The 19,105-nt window shown below is 34.2% G+C and overlaps 1 protein-coding gene across 7 annotated transcripts in view; it reads left to right on the top strand.

The window, feature by feature from the left end:
* The window catches only part of UNC13C (unc-13 homolog C), a 795,839-nt gene that overhangs the window by 288,860 nt on the left and 487,874 nt on the right, over nt 1-19,105 (top strand). For 6 of the 7 annotated variants that reach the window (XM_047432538.1, XM_017022220.2, XM_017022221.2 and 3 more), the window contains 2 exons: nt 16,557-16,579; nt 17,159-17,223. The exons of the other annotated variant lie outside the window; for it this stretch is intronic. In XM_047432538.1, the coding sequence (XP_047288494.1) occupies nt 16,557-16,579; nt 17,159-17,223 (88 nt within the window). The remainder of the gene's footprint in view (nt 1-16,556; nt 16,580-17,158; nt 17,224-19,105) is intronic. 7 annotated transcript variants of the gene reach the window in all.

The following is a 19,105-nucleotide window of genomic DNA, read 5'->3' on the forward strand; positions in this document are numbered from 1 at the left end:
AAATAAATAAAGCAAAAGCTGACACAAAGGAAAAACAAACAAATCCACAAATATTGTTTGAGACTTAAACTCCCATACTACACTGATGAAATTAACTCAAGATGGATTAAAGACTTAAACCTAAGACCTAAAACCATAAAAATCCTAGAAGAAAATGTAGGCAATACCATTCAGGATATAAGCATGGGCAAAGACTTCAGGACTAAAACACCAAAAGCGATGGCAACAAAAGCCAAAATTGACAAATAGGATCTAATGAAACTAAAGAGCTTCTGCACAGAAAAAGAAACTATCTTCAGAGTGAACAGGCAATCTGCAAAATGGGAGAAAATTTTTGCAATCTATCCATCTGACAAAGGGCTAATACACAGAATCTACAAGGAACTTAAACAAATTTACAAGAAAAAAACAACCCCATCAAAGAGTGGGTGAAGGATATGAACAGACACTTCTCAAAAGAAGACATTTATGCGGCCAATAGTTATATGAAAAAAGCTCATAATCACTAGTCATTAGAGAAATGCAAATCAAAACCACAATGAGATACCATCTCACACCAGTTAGAATGGCGATCATTAAAAAGTCAGGAAACAATAGGTGGTGGAGAAGCTGTAGAGAAATAGGAGTGCTTTTACACTGTTGGTGGGAAAGTAAATTAATTCGGTCATTGTGGAAAACAGTGCGGCGATTCCTCAGTGATCTAGAACCAGAAATACCATTTGACCCAGCAATCCCATTACTGGGTATATACCCAAAGGATTATAAATCATTCTACGATAAAGACACATGCACACATATGTTTATTGTAGCACTGTTCATGATACCAAAGACTTGGAACCAACCCACATGCCCAACAATGATAGACTGGATAAAGAAAATGTGACACATATACACGATGGAATACTATGTAGCCATAAAAAAGGATGAGTTCATGACCTTTGCAGGGACATGGATGAAGTTGGAAACCATCATTCTCAGCAAACTAACACAGGAACAGAAAACCAAACACCGCATGTTCTCACTCATAAATGGGAGTTGAACAATGAGAACACATGGACACAGAGAGGGGAACATCACACACTGGGGAGTTGTTGGGGAGTGGGGGACTAGGGAAGGGATAGCATTAAGAGAAATAGCTAATGTACATGACGGGTTAATGGGTACAGCAAACCACCATGACACATGTATACCTATGTAACAAACCTGCACATTCTGCACATGTATCCCAGAACTTCAAGTGTGTGTGTGTGTATATATATATATAAAATATATATTAAATATATATTTCATATATATTTATGTATAATATAAAATAATATATTTAATATAATATATAATATTTAATATATATATATTTTTAAAAGCTTGAACCTTCCTCCTTGGGAACTGGAGCTGGGACAAGACAAGAATACTCACTCTCATCACTCCTGTTCAACATGTACTAGAAGTCCTAGCCAGAGCAGTCAGGCAAGAGGAGGAAATGAAAGGCATCTAAATAAAAAAAGAAGTCGAAATATCTCTCTCCTCTGAAGATACGATTCTATACCTAGGATATCCTAAAGACTCTTCCAAAAGACTCCTGGCACTGATAAATAACTTTAATAAAGTCTCAGGATATAAAATCAGTAAAAATGTCAGCAGCATTTCTATACACCAACAAGGTCCAGGTTGAGAGTGAAATCAAGAACACAATCCCATTTACAATAGCCACAAAGAAAATGAAGTACTCATAAATATAGCTAATGAAGGAGGTGAAAGATTTCTACAAGAACTACAAAACCTTGCTGAATAAATCGGAGACAACAGAAATAAATGGAAAAACATTCTATGCTCACAGATTGGAAGAATTAATATCATACGAATATTTATTTTTATATCCTTAACTTATTTGCTACAACTTTCTACTTCACAAAACTTTCTATTTTTTTCATTTGTTTCAGACATATTTAGAATTGTTTTAAAGTGTTTTGTTTTAGCGGCATTGGAATCCTTGTCCTGTCATCCTAACATCTGTGTGTGAACATTTGCATCTGTTGATTGTCTTTCCTCATTCCCTTTGATATCTCCCTGGGTCTTGCTATGACAAGTAAGTTTTGCTGGAAACCTGAACAGTTAGGGTGTTATGTTTAAGACTTTGGATCTTATTAAAATCTCGTGTTTTAGCAGGCATGGTTTGACATTTCTCTAGTGATTGAAAGGGAGTTCTGATTCATTTCTACCAGGTTGAGTTGGAAGTCCAGGTTCTTTAGCCTGCCCCCACGGACACCCAAGTGGAAAGGGCTTTATGTTACTTCTGGAAATGGCTGGGAGTTGAGACTTCCCACTGAGTCTCTGCTTACAGAACCCTAGTTGGGAGGGAAATTAGTACCTAATTGCTGCTTCCCATCACTGATATCAGGGGAGTAACCTCCTTAGTACTGAGAAGTGGTCAAAGTCCTGACTCTCAACTAGGCCTCTCAACTGGGTCATTCTCTTGCTTAAAAACAATCTGATTCCACATTCCTCCTCTAACACCATTCCAGTGAGGAAGAAAGGGGCACATCACTGCTGCTTCTTTTGGGTGGAAGTTCAGGCTTTGAGTCCCAAGATCAATAGCTAATCTACCGTCTTCTCTCCAATTTTCAGAGTTTATCATATTTTACATATAATGACCAGAATTGTTAGTTGCGTTTAGTGGGAGTAATAGGGAGAGTAGGTCTATTTTTCCTGGAAGTGGAAGTTCCACTAATGAATTTTACATTGTTAAAGCACGGTTTTATCACGGGGGTAAATACAGCTTGGCCAGATGCGTACATATGTACATACATCCACACTGCTAGATTAATTGCAAAATATTCTTTAGGATTTTACTCATCTGTGACACTGGTATGTAATCTTATCACATACTTTCTTTTCTGATTTCAGTATCAAGCTTATACTAGCCTTAGAAAATTAATTAGGTGCATATCTTTCTGTATCCTACTTCTATAGTCAAATGTATGCTATGTGGAAGTTATCCATTTTATAAATATTTGTTAAAATGTGTCTAATAGTTTAAAATATTAGATATTCTTTCATAGGGAGAATTTTCTACTGATTCAATTTCTTTAATAATTGATATTGTGCTAAGTTTTTCTATTATTTTTGAGTAAATTTTGGTAATTTATATTTTTAAGAAAATTTTTATTTTGATAGTTTAATAGTCTTAGAAAATTATCCATTTCCTTAAGTTTGACCATTAATTGGCATAAAGATGTATATATCATTCTCTCAGAACTTTTCAAAATCTTTACTGTACCTTTAACTATATCCTCTTACATAATAATAATATTGTTTATATGTACATTCTATTTTCTTAGTGCTGCTTAAGATTTATACTTCCATTACAACTTTAAAAAAGTCTTTATTTATACTCATTTTTCCATGTCATAAGTTTACGTTATTGTCTTTTTTTTTGTACTTTGAGTTTATAATGTGTTTTTTTTTTATCTTCTTGAGTTGCACTTAAACTGATCTATTTTACTTTTTTGTTATATTTTAAACAAAGTTTTAAGGTTATAACCTTTCTTCTGTTACATTAAATTTATCTCACAAATATATGTATGCATGTGATGTGTTTTAGTGCATTTAGTTTTAATTTTTATTAATGTTTTATCATTTCCATTATGATTTCTTTTCCTATAAAATAAGGCATGCTTAAAAGTTTTCAAATGTGGTTTTCATTTTTGTTTTTGTTGTATTTTGTTTTGTTATATTTGAATCACCATTGTTGATTTCTTATTTGATTGGTCTTTTTGATATTCTGTGGAATATGTTGAGGCTTCTTCGTGGCCAGGTAGATAATTAATTTTTTTTTTTTTTTTTTTTTGTGAGACGGAGTCTCAGTCTGTCTCCCAGGCTGGAGTGCAGTGGTGCAATCTCGGCTCACTGCAAGCTCCGCCTCCCGGGTTCACGCCATTCTCCTGCCTCAGCCTCCCGAGTAGCTGGGACTACAGGCGCCTGCCAACACGCCTGGCTAATTTTTTGTATTTTTAGTAGAGTCGAGGTTTCACCGTGTTAGCCAGGATGGTCTCTATCTCCTGACCTCGTGATCCACCCGCCTCGGCCTCCCAAAGTGCTAGGATTACAGGCGTGAGCCACTGCGCCCAGCCCATAATTAATTTTTAACAGTATTTTATGTGAAAAGAATAAATATATTTCTGTTTGGTATGAATTCTGAACCTACATCTGTATTTGGTATAGGCTTAAGATTCCTATCTTCATAGGCAAATCTTTTCCATTCACGTTCCTAGGTGGAAAGAAAATTTCCCTCTGTTTCTCCACTTCCGTAGTTAATTCTTATCTCATGCTTTTATATTTTATGAGTGTTTTTAATAATATTCTTTCTGGTTTTATTCAAATAGTTCTAGAAAGTTATAGCTTTTCTTGTTTACAGATTCTATTGTACCTGGGTTTACCACTACTGTAAAAGTTGCGTGACCAATGGTGTTATTTATCTTGGTTTTCAACTGTTAGCATCCCCTGTCCCTAGCACAATGCCTAGAACTTAGGGACACTTGGTGGATGGGAAATGAATCAATGAATGAAATGTTTCAATATTCCTGTGAGCAATTTTGATTTTTACTGCACTGAAGATTAGTTTTGAGTTGCTTCTTCATTTGTAATAATTGGGAGATTATGTTTGATTTTGAGCTTAGATATGTTTTAAAGTTTAACAAAATCATGTTACCTAGTATTTGTGTGTCTGCATGGAATTTTGGTATATGTGGACCAGAGGGAAGAATCCTTCCATGTGGTATCTTATTTTGCTTTATTGCCTGGCAGACTAGACTGGATTTTCAAAAACAGAAAATAAAATTTTGATTGTGTTATATGTCATTCTCTTGCTTGAAAATATTGTGTGATTCCACATTGCGATTAGGATATAATTTATATTCCTTAATACAGTAGTCTCCCTGATCTACTATTTACTTTCCATGGTTTCAGTCACCCATGGTCAACAGTGGTCCAAAAATATTCAATGGAAAATTCCAGAAGTTAATAATGAGTAAGTTTTAAGTTGTATCCCTTCTGAGATAGGTAATGAAATCTTATGAATTCTGCTTTGTCCTTCCCAGGACGTGAGTCATCCCTTTCTTCAGCATATTCATGCTGTATACACTATCCATAGTTAGGCACTTAGTAGTCATCTCCGTTATCACACCTAAACAATGTAGCATGTTTAGAGTTTGGTGCTATCCTTGGTTCTAGTCATGCACTGGGGATCTTGGAACATATCCCCGCAGGAATAAGGGCTGACTCCTATAAAATATGTAAGGACTTTTGTGTTAGAACCTTATTCACTCTCCTTTCATTTCTTGCAATTGTTTACTGTCGCACTCCCATGTCTCAGTCCCTAACACTCTATGCTCTTTCAAGCTTCAATGCCTTTTGAAATCCTTTTTACTCTGCCAGGAATACCTTCACACATCAACAAAACCCACTCCTCTCCCGAATGAGTCCTTCCCAAACCCAATGTTCTCCATGGCTGAAGAGTTAGAGGATCTCTTCTCTGTGCTTCCATATCACTTTGTTCATATCTTTAACATCCTTATGATACTGAACTGTCATTGCAATTCAGTTTTTTTCTTTTTCTTTTTTTTTTTTGACAGCGTCTTGCTCTGTCACCCAGGCTGGAGTGCAGTGGCACAATCTAGGCTCACTGCAAGCTCCGCCTCCCAGGTTTACTTATGCCGTTCTCCTCCCTCAGCCTCCTGAGTAGCTGGGACTACAGGCGGCTGCCACCACACCTGGCTAATTTTTTGTATTTTTAGTAGAGATGGGGTTTCACCATGTTAGCCAGGATGGTCTCGATCTCCTGACCTCGTGATCTGCCTGCCTCGGCCTCCCAAAGTGCTGGGATCACAGGCATGAGCCACCGTGCCTGACCAATTCAGTTTTTTTAGATTACTGTTGAGGCTGTAAATGAGTGATCAAAGGTATGTGAGTTATGAGTTAAATCAGCATTAATCTCCCAGCACTCATCCAGTTGCATCCAGAAGTATGTCTGAAACATACACCATCCACAGGTACTTCCTCTGACCTGGAAGCATGTGCTCCTTATTAATAATTCACAAGACAGTTTAAGGAATTCAATAAAAGGGAAGATAAAGTTATTTGCAGACTTATCTAGCATACAGTAGGTACTCTGTAAAGGCTAATGACAGCTCAGCAACCCTCTGATTTCATTAATGATTTTTCTTTGCACTGTTTTTGGCTCCCATGTGATGACTTTCAGGCATACTACACATGTATCAAAGTCGTATCTCTTTTAATATGGTGACAAATAGAGCAAACTGTTTCCAAAGAAGATAATGAATTATCACCAGTGGGAAATTTATACTGTGTTATCACTGAAGAACCTCAGAGCAAAGATGTTTAAGGGAATTCCTAAACTAGATAGGGTGGAACTCAATTTACATACAAACTTGGAGATCTCTCCTATTCAAATTTCCTTCAAAAAGTGTGTTATAATAGAGGTAAAACATTGAGGGAGAAAATACAACATTTTTACTTTTATCTTAGAAGATTGTAAATTGACTATATCTATCCATCTTAATCTTAAATGTAGGCATTAGGTATTATGAATATTTATTTTTCGTGGTAACTGGTGAATAAACATTCCTTGTTTTAGTGAAAATTCACTACACATACCAAAAGATATCATAGAATTTAGAGCTAGAAGATTTAGATAGATGCTGGTGAAATATTCTTATTTTACTTATATATGAAGGAAAACTGAGGGTTAGGGAGATGACATGTTTCCGTAGATTACGTTCAGATTTACTTCTTGGGGATGCTCACACAAGAACCTCTGATGGATCTAATACACAGGAGACACACATATATTATTGGTATTTCTATATACTGAGAATTTTGGTTTTATAGGTCACCATGCAGCATGGTTGAATAGAATAGTGCTGTTCGCCGAGTAAATATTTTATCAGTTTTTTTATTTTAAATTGTTTGTGGAATTTGAAGACATTAAAATTGTATAACCACTACAAACTTACTTTAATCCCATTTATAGGGGAAGTTTCACTATAAAGTAGATGGATGTACTGTGGTCTCGCATTAACGACATTAAATTGCTGAGCTGCAAAATGAACCTGTTGTGAGATGATATGTGCCTTCTAAGACTAGGAACATTGGGAGCAGCATTATAGGGAGTACCCAGCATGTAATTACAGACATTTTACCACAATTTTACTAAGCAGAACAACTGTATGTAGAATAAAAGGCAATTTATCAGCGAACAAAGACTGTGTGTATATGTGTGTGTATTTACTATATCTATCTATATACACAATATCTGTATATACATATATGATTATCTGCATATCTGTACATGTTTTATATATATATTACACTGCCCCTTGAATAATAGCCAAGATTTTTGCCTATTGTATACATTTTACATTTTATTCTTTCCCCAGCTTTATTAAGGCATAGTTGACAAATAAATTAGCTATTTCAAGGTGTTAAAATATAATGATTTGATATTCATATACATTGTGAAATGATTACCACAATAAAAGCAACTAATACATCCATCACTATACTGAGTTACGTGTGTGTGTGTGTGTGTGTGTGTGGTGAGGACACTTATGTACTATATTAACACATTTCGAGAAAACAATGTAGTATTATTGGCTATAGTTGTCATGGTGTGTATTAGATCCCCAGAATTTATTCATCTTATAACTGAAAGTTTGTACACTTTGACCAAAAACTATTTCCCCCACCCCCAGCCCTGGCAACTACTGTTCTACTCTCCACTTTTATGAGTTCAGTTTTTTTTTTTGTGAGATTTTACTTATAAGTGAAATAATATTTCTCTTTTCTTTTTCTGCCTTATTTCACCTAGTATATGTCCTCTAGATTAATCAATCTTGTCATGAATGGCAGGAGTTTTTTCTTTTTAATGGCTAAATAATCATCTGTGTGTGTGTGTGTGTGCGTTTGTGTGTGTATACACATATATACACATAACATTGTCTTCATCTGCTGACAAATAGGTTTTTTGTTTTTTGTTTTTTGTTTTGAGACGGGGTCTCGGAGTCTCGCTGTCTCGCTGTCTCCCAGACTGGAGTGCAGTGGCGCGATCTCAGCTCACTGCAAGCTCCGCCCCCAGGGTTCACGCCATTCTCCTGCCTTAGCCTCCCGAGTAGCTGAGACTACAGGCGCCAGCCACCACGCCTGGCTAATTTTTTTTTTGTATTTTTAGTAGAGACGGGGTTTCACCAAAATAGGTTGTTTTTATACCTTGGCTATAGTGAATAATTCTGCAGTGAATATGGCAGTGCAGGTATCTCTTCAACATGCTAATCTCATTTTATTTAAATTTATACCTATAAGTGAGATTGCTGGATTATTATAGTAGTTCTAGTTTTATGTTTTTGAGGAACCTCCATACTGCTTTACTTAATGGCTGTACCAATTTATGTTTCTGTCATCAATGTACAAGAGTTCCTTTTTGTGCATGCCATTACCAACACATTATCTCTTGTGTTTTAATTATAACCATTCTAACAGGTGTGAGGTGATATCTCATTTTGGTTTTGATTTGTATTTCTCTGCTGATGAATGATATTGAGCACCTTTTTAAATGTGTATTAGCCATTAATGTCTTTTTTGAAAAAAATACCTGTTTTAGACCCCTTGCCAATTTATTAATCAAAGAGTTTGTGATTTTGCTATGGAGTTATATATTTTGGATATTGACCCTTTATCAGACATATAGTTTGCAAATATTTTCTCCCATTTCACGGTTTCCTTTTCATTTTGCCGATTGTTTCCTTTGCTGTGCAAAAGCATGTTAATTTGATGAACCTGTTTATGTTTTATTTTGTTGCCTGCATTTCCAGTGTCATATCCAAGGAAATTATTGCTATCCCGGCCAATACGTTGCCAATGGTAAATTTTCCTTAAACTTTTATCTTGGAGCTTTATGGGTTCAGGTCCTACACTTAAGAATCCATTCCAAGTTAATTTTTATGTGGTATAAAATAAGGATCCAATTGTATTCTTTTACATGTGGATATCTCATTTTTCCAATACCATTTATTGAAGAGACAGTCCTTTCCCCATTGTGTATTCTTGGCACCTTCATCAAATATTAGTTTGCCATATGTCTGTGGTTTTATTTCTGAGCTCTCTCTTCTGTTCCATCAGTCTATGTGTGTATTTTTATGCTGGTACCATATTGTTTCAATTACTATAACCTTGTAATATAGCTTGAAATCGGGACAAATCATGCCCCAGCTTCGTTCTTTTCTTTAAAGATTGCTTTGGCTATTCAGGGCTTTTTTATGATTCCATATAAGTTTTAGAATTTTTTTTCTATTTCTGTAAAAAAGCCATTGGAATTCTGGTAGAGATTCCTTTGACTCTGTAAGCCTTTGAAAAAGCCATGGGAATTTTGGTAGAGATTCCTTTGAATCTGTAGGTCACTTAAAATGCAAGCTTTTTAAGGATATCAGTTTTTCCAGTGCAGGCACACTGAACATCTTTCCATTTATTTATGTTTTCTTCAATTATTTCATCGATGTCTTATAGTTTTCAGTGTAGTCTTATAGTTTCCAGTGTACAGATCTTTCACCTCCTTCGTTAAATTTATATGTAAGTATTTAACATTTTGATATAGTAAATTTTAATTTTTAAAAATTTCTTTTTCAAGATGGAGTCTCACTCTGTCACCAAAGCTGGAGTGTAGTGGGGTAATCACTGCTAACTGCAGCCTTGACCTCCCAGGCTCAGGTGATCTTCCCACATCAATCTCCTGAGTAGCTGGGGCTATAGGCATGTGCCACCATGCCCTGCAAATTTTTTTTTTGTATTGTTTGTAGAGACTGGTTTTGCCATGTTGCCCACTGTTTTAATATTTTTTCAGATAGTTTGTTATATTAGTGTATAGTTTTTTTATCATGACACTTTAGATTTGTTTATCAGTTTTAAGTTTTTTGGTGGAGTCTAGGGTTTTCCATATGTGAGTTATTGTCACCTGTAAACAGAAACGATTTACTTCTTCATTTTTTTATTTAGATGCCTTTTATTTATTTTTTTCTTGCCTTATTTCTCCAGTGAGAACTTCTAGTACTATGCTGGATAGAAACGATGAGAGTGGGAGCCCTTGTCTTGTTTCTGATCTTAGGGGAAAATCTTTCAGCTTTTCACTGTCGAGTATGATGTTAGCTATGGGCTTATTGTGTATGGCTTTTATTATGTACAGGTGCATTCCCTCGATATCTGATTTGCTAAGAGTTTTTATCATGAAAAGATGTTGAATTTTGTCAAGAGCTTTTTCTGCATCTATTCAGATCATTATATAATTTTCATCCTTCATTCTTTTATTTTTGTGTATCACTTTTTTTTTTTTAACTTTAAGACAGGGTCTTGCTCTGTCACCCAGGAGTGCAGTGGTACCATCTAGGCTCACTGCAGCCTCAATATTCTCAATCAGTCCTCCCATCTCAGCCTCCCCAGTAGCTGGGAGTAGAGGTGTACACCACCATGCTTGGCTAATTTTTGTATTTTTAGTAGAGATAGTGTCTTGCCCCAGCTAGTCTTGCCCAGGCTAGTCTTGAACTCCTGGGCCGTAGTGATCTGCCCACTTGGGCCTGCCAAAGTGGATTACAGGCATGAGCCACTGCACTCAGCCGTGTATGCCATTTATTGATTTGCATTCCTTGAAACATCCTTGCATCCTAGGGATAAATTCCATTTGATCATGGTGTATGATCCTTTTACTGTGCCATTGAATTTGGTTTGTTAGCATTTTGTTGAAGACTTTTTTGCATCTATGTTCATCAGGAATAGTGGCCTGTAATTTTCTTGTAGAATCCTTGTCTGGCTTTGGTGTGAGTAATGCTGGCCCATAAAGTGAGCTGTAAGTATTATCTCCTCTTCAATTTTTTGAAGAGTTTGAGAAATACTGGTGTTAAATCTTGGCACACAATGAAGCTATCTTGTAATGGGCTTTTCTTTGTTGAGAGATAATTGATGACTACTTCCATGTTGTTACTCATTATTGGTCTGCTCAGACTTTATCTTTCTTTATGATTCAGTATTGGTAGGTTGTATGTTCTAGTAATTTATCCATTTCTTCCAGGTTATTCAATTTGATGGCATGTAATTATTCAAAGTGGTCTCTTAAGATCCTTTGTAGTTTTGTGCTACCAGTTGTAATGTTGCTCTTCCATTTATAATTTTATTTATTTGATCCATTTCCCTTATTTTCTTGGTGAGTCTAGCTAAGAGTTTGACAATTTTGTTTATATTTTCAAAAAAACCCTCTTAGTTTCATCTATCTTTTCCATTGTCATTGTAGTCTCTATTTCATTTATTTCTTCTGTAATCTTTATTATTTCCTTAGTTCTGCTGACATTGGGCTTAGTTTGTTTGGTTTTGTATCTAGTTCTTTGAAGTAAAAATTTAGGTTGTTTATTTGAGATCTTTTTTTAAATGTGGGTATTTATCACTGTATCCCTCTTAGAAGTGCTTTTGCTACATCCTGTAAGTTTTGGTATATTGTGTTTCTATTTTTGTTTGTCTCTAAATATTTATTAATTTCACCTTTGACCCATTGGTTCTTCAGGAGTGTGTTGTTTTATTTCCACATATTTGTGGATGTTCTAAAATTCTTCCTGTTATTGATTTCTACTTTCAAATATTGTGGTCAGAAAAGACACTTGATATGATTTCAATGTTTAAATTTGTTAAGATGTGTTTTGTGGCTTGAAGACTTTTCCAAAATGTACACTCTAGAGGAATATATATTCTGTTGCTGTTGGGTAGAATATTGTGTCATTTTAAAATATTTTCAACAATATGATTATTAAATAACAGAATCTTGGAAAATATAAGAGAATATGAATGAATATATTAACCTATTACTGAAGTTTAATAACATTATGGGGATGTTTTTCTCAAGTCTATTTCTATATATAACTGTTTTTGTTTTTACATAGTCACCTTATAACCTGAAGTAACCTCAAACATGAGGTTACTTCCTAATTTTTATTTTATACATCAGGAACATTTTCTATATTTTTATTTAGCCTCTAAATGCATTGATTTTAATGGTCACAGATTATTGCATCAAAGTCATAGAACATAATTTTCAACCCATAGTTCTATATTTAATCATGTATGCTTTTGCAATTTTTTGGTAGTAAATAATGAAACAGTGCCAATCTTAACATATTTTTTAGTATTTAAATTGTATGTTTGCTGGGGTTGCCATAACATAATATCGAAAATTGAGTGACTTAGAGTAGCCGAAATTTATTCTGAGTTCTGGAGGCTGGACGTTCACTATCAAGGTGTTGGCAGGGCCATACTCCCTCTGAAGGAACTAGGGGAGAATCTTCTGAGGCCTCTCCCCAAGTTTCTGGGAATTGCTTGGCTTGTGGAAGCATCACTAATCTTTACTTGATATTATTGTGTGTGCATATATCTCCAAATTTCCCCTAATTTTTTTTTTTTTTTTTTTTTTTTTGAGACGGAGTCTCGCTTTGTCGCCAGGCTGGAGTGCAGTGGTGCGATCTCGACTCACTGCAACCTCCGCCTCCTGTGTTCAAGCGATTCTTGTGCCTCAGCCTCCCGAATAGCTGGGATTACAAGCACGCACCACCATGCCCAGCTAATTTTTGTATTTTTAGTAGAGACGGGGTTTCACCGTGTCAGCCAGGCTGGTCTCAGACTCCTGACCTCATGATCTGCCCGCCTCAGCCTCCCAAAGTCCTGGGATTACAGGTGTGAGCAACCGCATCCGGCCCAAATTTCCCCTTTTTATAAGAACACCAATCACAGTGGATTATGAGTCCACCCTGCTCTAGTATGGCATGTTTTAACTAGTTCCGTCTGCAGTGGTCCTATTTCTAAACAAGGCCACATTGTGATGTACCAGACGTTAGGACTTCAACATTTAAATTGGCAGAGGTAGGACACAATTCAACCCATAACAAAAATAATTTCCTTAGCACCAGTTTCCAAAAGTGGAATTTTCCTGTCAAAACAGTGTATTGATAGACATGTTTTGAAAGTTATTTTTTAACTTGTATTATTACAATTTTCATGCTCATCAACTATGCATGATAGTGTTTGATTAATAATATTCTCAACAGCCTTGGGAATTATTTTTAATATCATTAAAATCAGTATCTTTAATCTTCATTAATTTTGTACTCTTTAGTTGTAGTTTTAGTAAAATAGATAATTTGTATGCATATTTACCATTGTTGCATTTTAATTTGTCAATTATCTAGTAAGTCTAAATTTAAAAATCTCTTTCCATAGGTTTAATAAATATTCCTTTCTCTTTTTACTTGTCTTTCTTCCTTTAACTATTCTATATTTAAATCTTTAATGTATGTGGAACTTGGTGGCATATGTATGAGATGAGGATACAAATGAATATTATAGATACTTAACCTATTGTCCAAGCACCATTTACTGACTAGTGCTTCTCTTTGTCTTTAATAAAAAATGTTTTCTTAGTCATTAAATTCTTGAGTATAAGGGTTTCTTAATTATATTTTGTGTTTCACTTTTAATCTATTATTTTGCCAGGACCATACTGTTTTAGCTGTTATAAATTATTAATATTTTTATAGATTCATCTCATAGTGCTTCTTTTACAAAATTTTAGATATTTTTACTTGTTTATTAATCCAGTTACACTTAAAATTGGTAAAATTTCAAGTTACAGCAATCTGCCATTAGGATTTTGACTGTGAAATCTACAAATCTGTTAGATTATAATTCATCTTCACTATATAGAAAAATGAAATAATATTTTCCATTATTCAGATTTTTAGCTATTCCATGAAGTGGTGTAGCTTATTAAAATTGTCCATTCCAATATTTAAGAAATGGTTATTAGTCATCTCCTATATTTCAGGAATGTGGTAAAAGTAAAAAAAACAGAGAGAGAGATTAAAAAACAGACTACCATCAAGGAGCTCAAATTCTGAAAGGATTGCAGATAAGGAAACTGGCAAAGGATGAAGATTAGCAAAGAGGAATGCACAGTGCACAATACTGAACCCAGGATGACAGCAGGGAGAAGTGTCACAAGTTTCCAGAAAGAGAGGTTGTGCTTCAGCTAGGTTTGGGACATAACAGGCAGTCAGCTCCATGAGGATGGAGAACAGTTGTTTCACAGGGAGGAAACAGCAATGCAAAGGCACATAGATTTCAAAGAACATGGCACAGAAATGGAACTTCAAGAATGTAATTGTGACTGAAGTTTATGATGTGAATGAGATATAATGAGTGATGAGATCGCATTTCACATGGATTTTATGTTCTTTCATGAGGGCACTGTGTGTCATTGGTGGGTTTTAAGAAGGAGAGTGACATAATTTTATCTTTTTTAGAAAGATTTCAGGGAAGAATACAGCAGGGAGACAAGAAAACAGTCAAAGTGAACAAAAAAGGTTCACTGGCCATAAATATGTGTTCAGTGAATGAATGAAACATTGAAAGAACTGATGTATTACCAGATTTAACAGCTGAAAAGTAATTGATGACCTTGTTAAGATTACCTGTATTTAGTGGGATGGTTGAGATGGAAGACAGATATCAACAGGAGATAATGAATATAAAGTACTCATTCAAAATATTGCAGATTTGAAATCAGATCTTATTTCATTGTTTTCCAAACTAGTTGCTAGTGTATAAGAAATAACATTATTATTTTGCTTATGGGTTGACTATATAGTTACTCTGTTGACTCTTTTATTTGCTGTAATAGTTTTCCATGTGATTTTGCATGTTTTGATTACTAGATATAAAATTATAATTCTTGTAAAAATAACTTTCTATTTTGACTTCTAATAATTATATAGTTTGTTTTGGTTTGTTTTAATATATAGGCCAGAATTTTCAGAAAGAAGTGAAAATTATGCTTTGGACAGTTTCGTTTGCTTTTAATGGTGATGGAAATGCCCTACTATTTCACACATAAATTGCTGACTGTAATACTATATGTAATACTTTTTTAACATATTACACTTAAAGAAGACCCATTACAATCCCATTTTAAGGAGGTTTTGAACAACTAGAAGGTTTTGATTTTTTATCAGATGACTTTTGCTCCCTATGAAAATTAAGATATATATTTTCTGGCCAATTGATATGTCATATTAGATTAGTCATATCATTATTTTAAATGATGCTTTGGGTACAATTTTCTTGAATATGGTATATTATTCTTCTGCGGTAATGCTAAATTTTATTTATTTTATATAGTATTTTAAAATAATTATGGCCATAAATAAGATTTATCTTTTATTACTTTACAATACATTTTACCCTGTTTTGCATCTGAAGATACAACCCTGAAATACTGAAAAATCTGCACCAAAATATTTACTTATGATAGTTAAGCAGCCTATACTTAATGAGTCAAGAGAAGTAATGCATTTCAGATTTTCATCTGTAAGGGTCATCATTGAGCTACATGACCTTGGACAAATTTTAATCTTTCCATTGCTCATTTATATAAACAAGGGATTTGAACTAAGTAAACTCCAGTGTCACTCCAGCTCTAGCATTTTGCCAACTTGTATCCATAGAGAAGTTTCTCCAGTTTTATGCTAATAAGCAAAGATGAATTAATGAGTTTCAGAGCAATAGTACTGTGTAAGGTAGTAGTAGACTCTATCCTATGACCAGGCAAATTTAAACCTGTGTTTAAAAAATGATGATGCAGTAGTCCATTCTCCATCTCCTTGTGTCCATGAGTAGCTGGACCTGGAAAATGTTGGCCCTATGATTTATCTTGCATTGCATCTGAAAACTGTAGACCAAGCACCCTTCACTGTTCTGTTCAGCTCACCTGAAACATTAGATGTAAAGAGCACCAGATGGGAGATCAGGAGCCCTGGATTTGTGTCCCTCTTCTGCCATTTACTAGCTTTGTGATCTTAATCAAGTCACTTAACCTCTTTAGGCATCAGTTTTCTTATGTGTAAGATGGAATCAACTTAATCTTTTAGCTCGTAAACTCTATGATATGAGAAGCCATAAATATATAAACTCTTAATAAAACAACTTTAATCTACAGAGTCATCTGAGGTTTACTTTCCCAAATACTGATCTCAATTAATTCTATCAACAATGTTGCGAGGCAGTTAGTCAAAGTATTTGTGATTGTATTTCAGAGTTGGATCTAGGCTCTTGACTCCAAAGAGTTTGGTAGCTTATCCAATGTGTCTAGTAAGTGGCAGAGCCTCAGCTGGAGCCCAGGACTTCTGATTCTTCAACTATGTTCTTTTCTTAATATAACACATTGTCTTTCATTAAATCCTGTAATCACTTTTATACTTTTCAAGCATTCTATTACATTTCTCTGCACTTTAAATTGTGAGAACCAACTATCCTTGTACCCTTGGGCTCAACCTTGAAACTCTGTTTATTTATAATTTTAAACAATGTAACATATTAACACTCTGTTCATGTATATGTTTAAACAATTTCTTGAAAAGTACTCCATCTAACATTTATCCCTTCTTTTCCTGATTCTCTTTCAGATAGCAGTTCTGTGGATGAAAAGGTTTTAAATCATACTTATTCTTCCCTCCTGAGGAATCTTGTCTTTTGTACATGTTTGTTTGTGACATATTAGATCTGTTTGATTCCTCTGTTTTAGTTTTGAAATGTGCATGTTATCCCAGCTTTCCATTATTTGGTTGTCCTTTAAGTGTGCCTCTGATATGTTGCACTTATGGAGAGGTCACACCTTGCCAGCTGCGCTTACCTTAGCTATACTTGCCAACCTAGGGGTCTGCTACTGTCAAACACAGCATCTTTTCTTAAGTCTGGCTAATCATGACCTTTCTGACTGATTCATGATCTTCACTGTGCATATCAAGTTTTAAGGGCAAATAGTACTTGGAATATGACATATTTTCCGGGACTCTGCCAGTGCATTTGTTTAAATGCTGACAGCTAATTTCAAAACCTCTACTCATAAAAACACAGTAGCTTTGACTTGGAGCTGACCCTGCTTAGCATCTGTCATACTAGGTGTTACGTGTGTAGTGCAGCTGACCTGTGTCCCGATTTCGTGTACATAAAACTGTAGTATGCTAAAAGCCTGTTTGTTTTGTTTTTCTCTTACTCTTCATTTAAGGCTCGAATAGTAAGTGGCAATGATTTGGATGCTTCCAAATTTTCTGCACTCCAGGTGTGTGGTGGGTAAGTACCTTCATACCTTTCTAATTTATTCCATTCATAGATGGCACTTGGCTGTGTTCTCAACATATATGCTTTGAGTGCAAGATGCTGCATGATTAGCTAGCCTCATTGTTACTTCATTTTACAATAAAGTTGACATTATAGTGTTTTCTTAAAAAAATGTAATACATGTTAACTATAAAACAATTCTAAAAATATGAATATGTATATGATTATATATATAAGTCAAAATCAACTAACCAGTTTAACTGTTAACATTATCATTACATACCCAAATAGAATCACAAAATTTTATACAAATGAATTCATATTGATACAATTAATGCTCTCTTTCAATGTGCTTGTTTGCACTTAATGATATATGTACATGAACATTTTTCCTGTCAACAACTCAATGAATATAATCTATACTATTATTTTTCATAGTTGCATAGTATTACACTTAACATAAGTATCAAAGTATTTAAAATTTAATCACAAAAATAATGTATGAAATTTATTTTCTATGTAAAAAATTCAAGCAGCCTCGTCTTTAATGTTAAAAGTTACGCACTGGTATCAGTGTGGCATGAATGTTCATAGGCATTTTTCTACGTGTTTGCAATACGTATCTGTGTTCATATAAAATAAGTAGTTTTGCATCGTGGTTTTTTTTTTTGCATTTTAACATAAAACAGTCCACTCTGTGTAAATAAATAAGCATGAATTTAATGCTGACTTTGTATCTAGTGCTGTTAAAATTGTCCTATACATAATGACTCACTTAATCTTTACAATGGCCGTATGAGGTAAGTACTATTTTGACTCTAATTTTACAAATGAAGAAACCAATCCACAAAGCACTTAAGAGATGTTTCCTTCAGACAGCTAGTGAGTGACAAAGTCAGTATTCAAGCTCAGTTAATCCAATTCCAGAGCCTGTAATCTCAATTTACATGCCACATTGCCTCTGCAACTTGCCGTTTTCTCTTTTTCCATTTAACAACAAATGCTTTGCCAAATTTTCTACTTTATTATTTTGAAGTGATGCAAATATTTGAAAACATTCATACAACATGTTTTATTCTTCTATTGGTGGGTTTTCAAAATTATTTCTAATTCATAATTGCAAATTATGACATAATTATAGATACTATGGTAAATATATCACAATAGATTTTAAAAGTGTAATTTGTGGATCAATGCTTATACACAGTTTATATATTCATATATACCTCTTTATATATGAATATAGAGAGATATCTATATAATTAATTATCTATCTATCTATATAGATTTTTGTTTTAAAACCAAGACCGGGTTTTGCCATATTGTTCAGGCTGGTCTTGATCTCCTGAGCTCAGGTGATCCACACACCTTGGCCTCCCAAAGTGCTGGAATTACATACATGAGCCACCGTGCCTGGCAAATAATTTAAATATATATACATATATATGTATAGTGTATTAGATGTTTTATAAATGTTGAAATTTGAATACATTTATGTACAGTATAAATAGAAGCAAAATTTAGAGGCATGTTTTAGTTTTTTTATCTAGGCAAAAAGTTTCACAGTTCTGTTTTGTAATACACTCATTTTTTGAAAATCAGTTTGTTATTAAATACATCCACATGTTACTTATTTTAAATAAAATATTTGTAAGATTTAAAGTTTTAAATGTAAAGCTCCTACAAATTAATATATATGTATCGTTTTTATTTTGATGTTTCCAAATAGAAGTGATTAAGATGTTATTTCTGTTACATCTCTAACTTTAATGTCCTTGAAATATATGAAGAATTACTCTCGTTCATATTCTAATGTTATAGTAATTTAAATAAGTTATAAAAGCAGCTGTGGTGAAAGATCATTATGAATTATTCAGAGATATTAAGGTAGTGA

Source organism: Homo sapiens, chromosome 15 (assembly GCF_000001405.40).
Source record: "Homo sapiens chromosome 15, GRCh38.p14 Primary Assembly".
Classification (NCBI taxonomy): domain Eukaryota; kingdom Metazoa; phylum Chordata; class Mammalia; order Primates; family Hominidae; genus Homo; species Homo sapiens.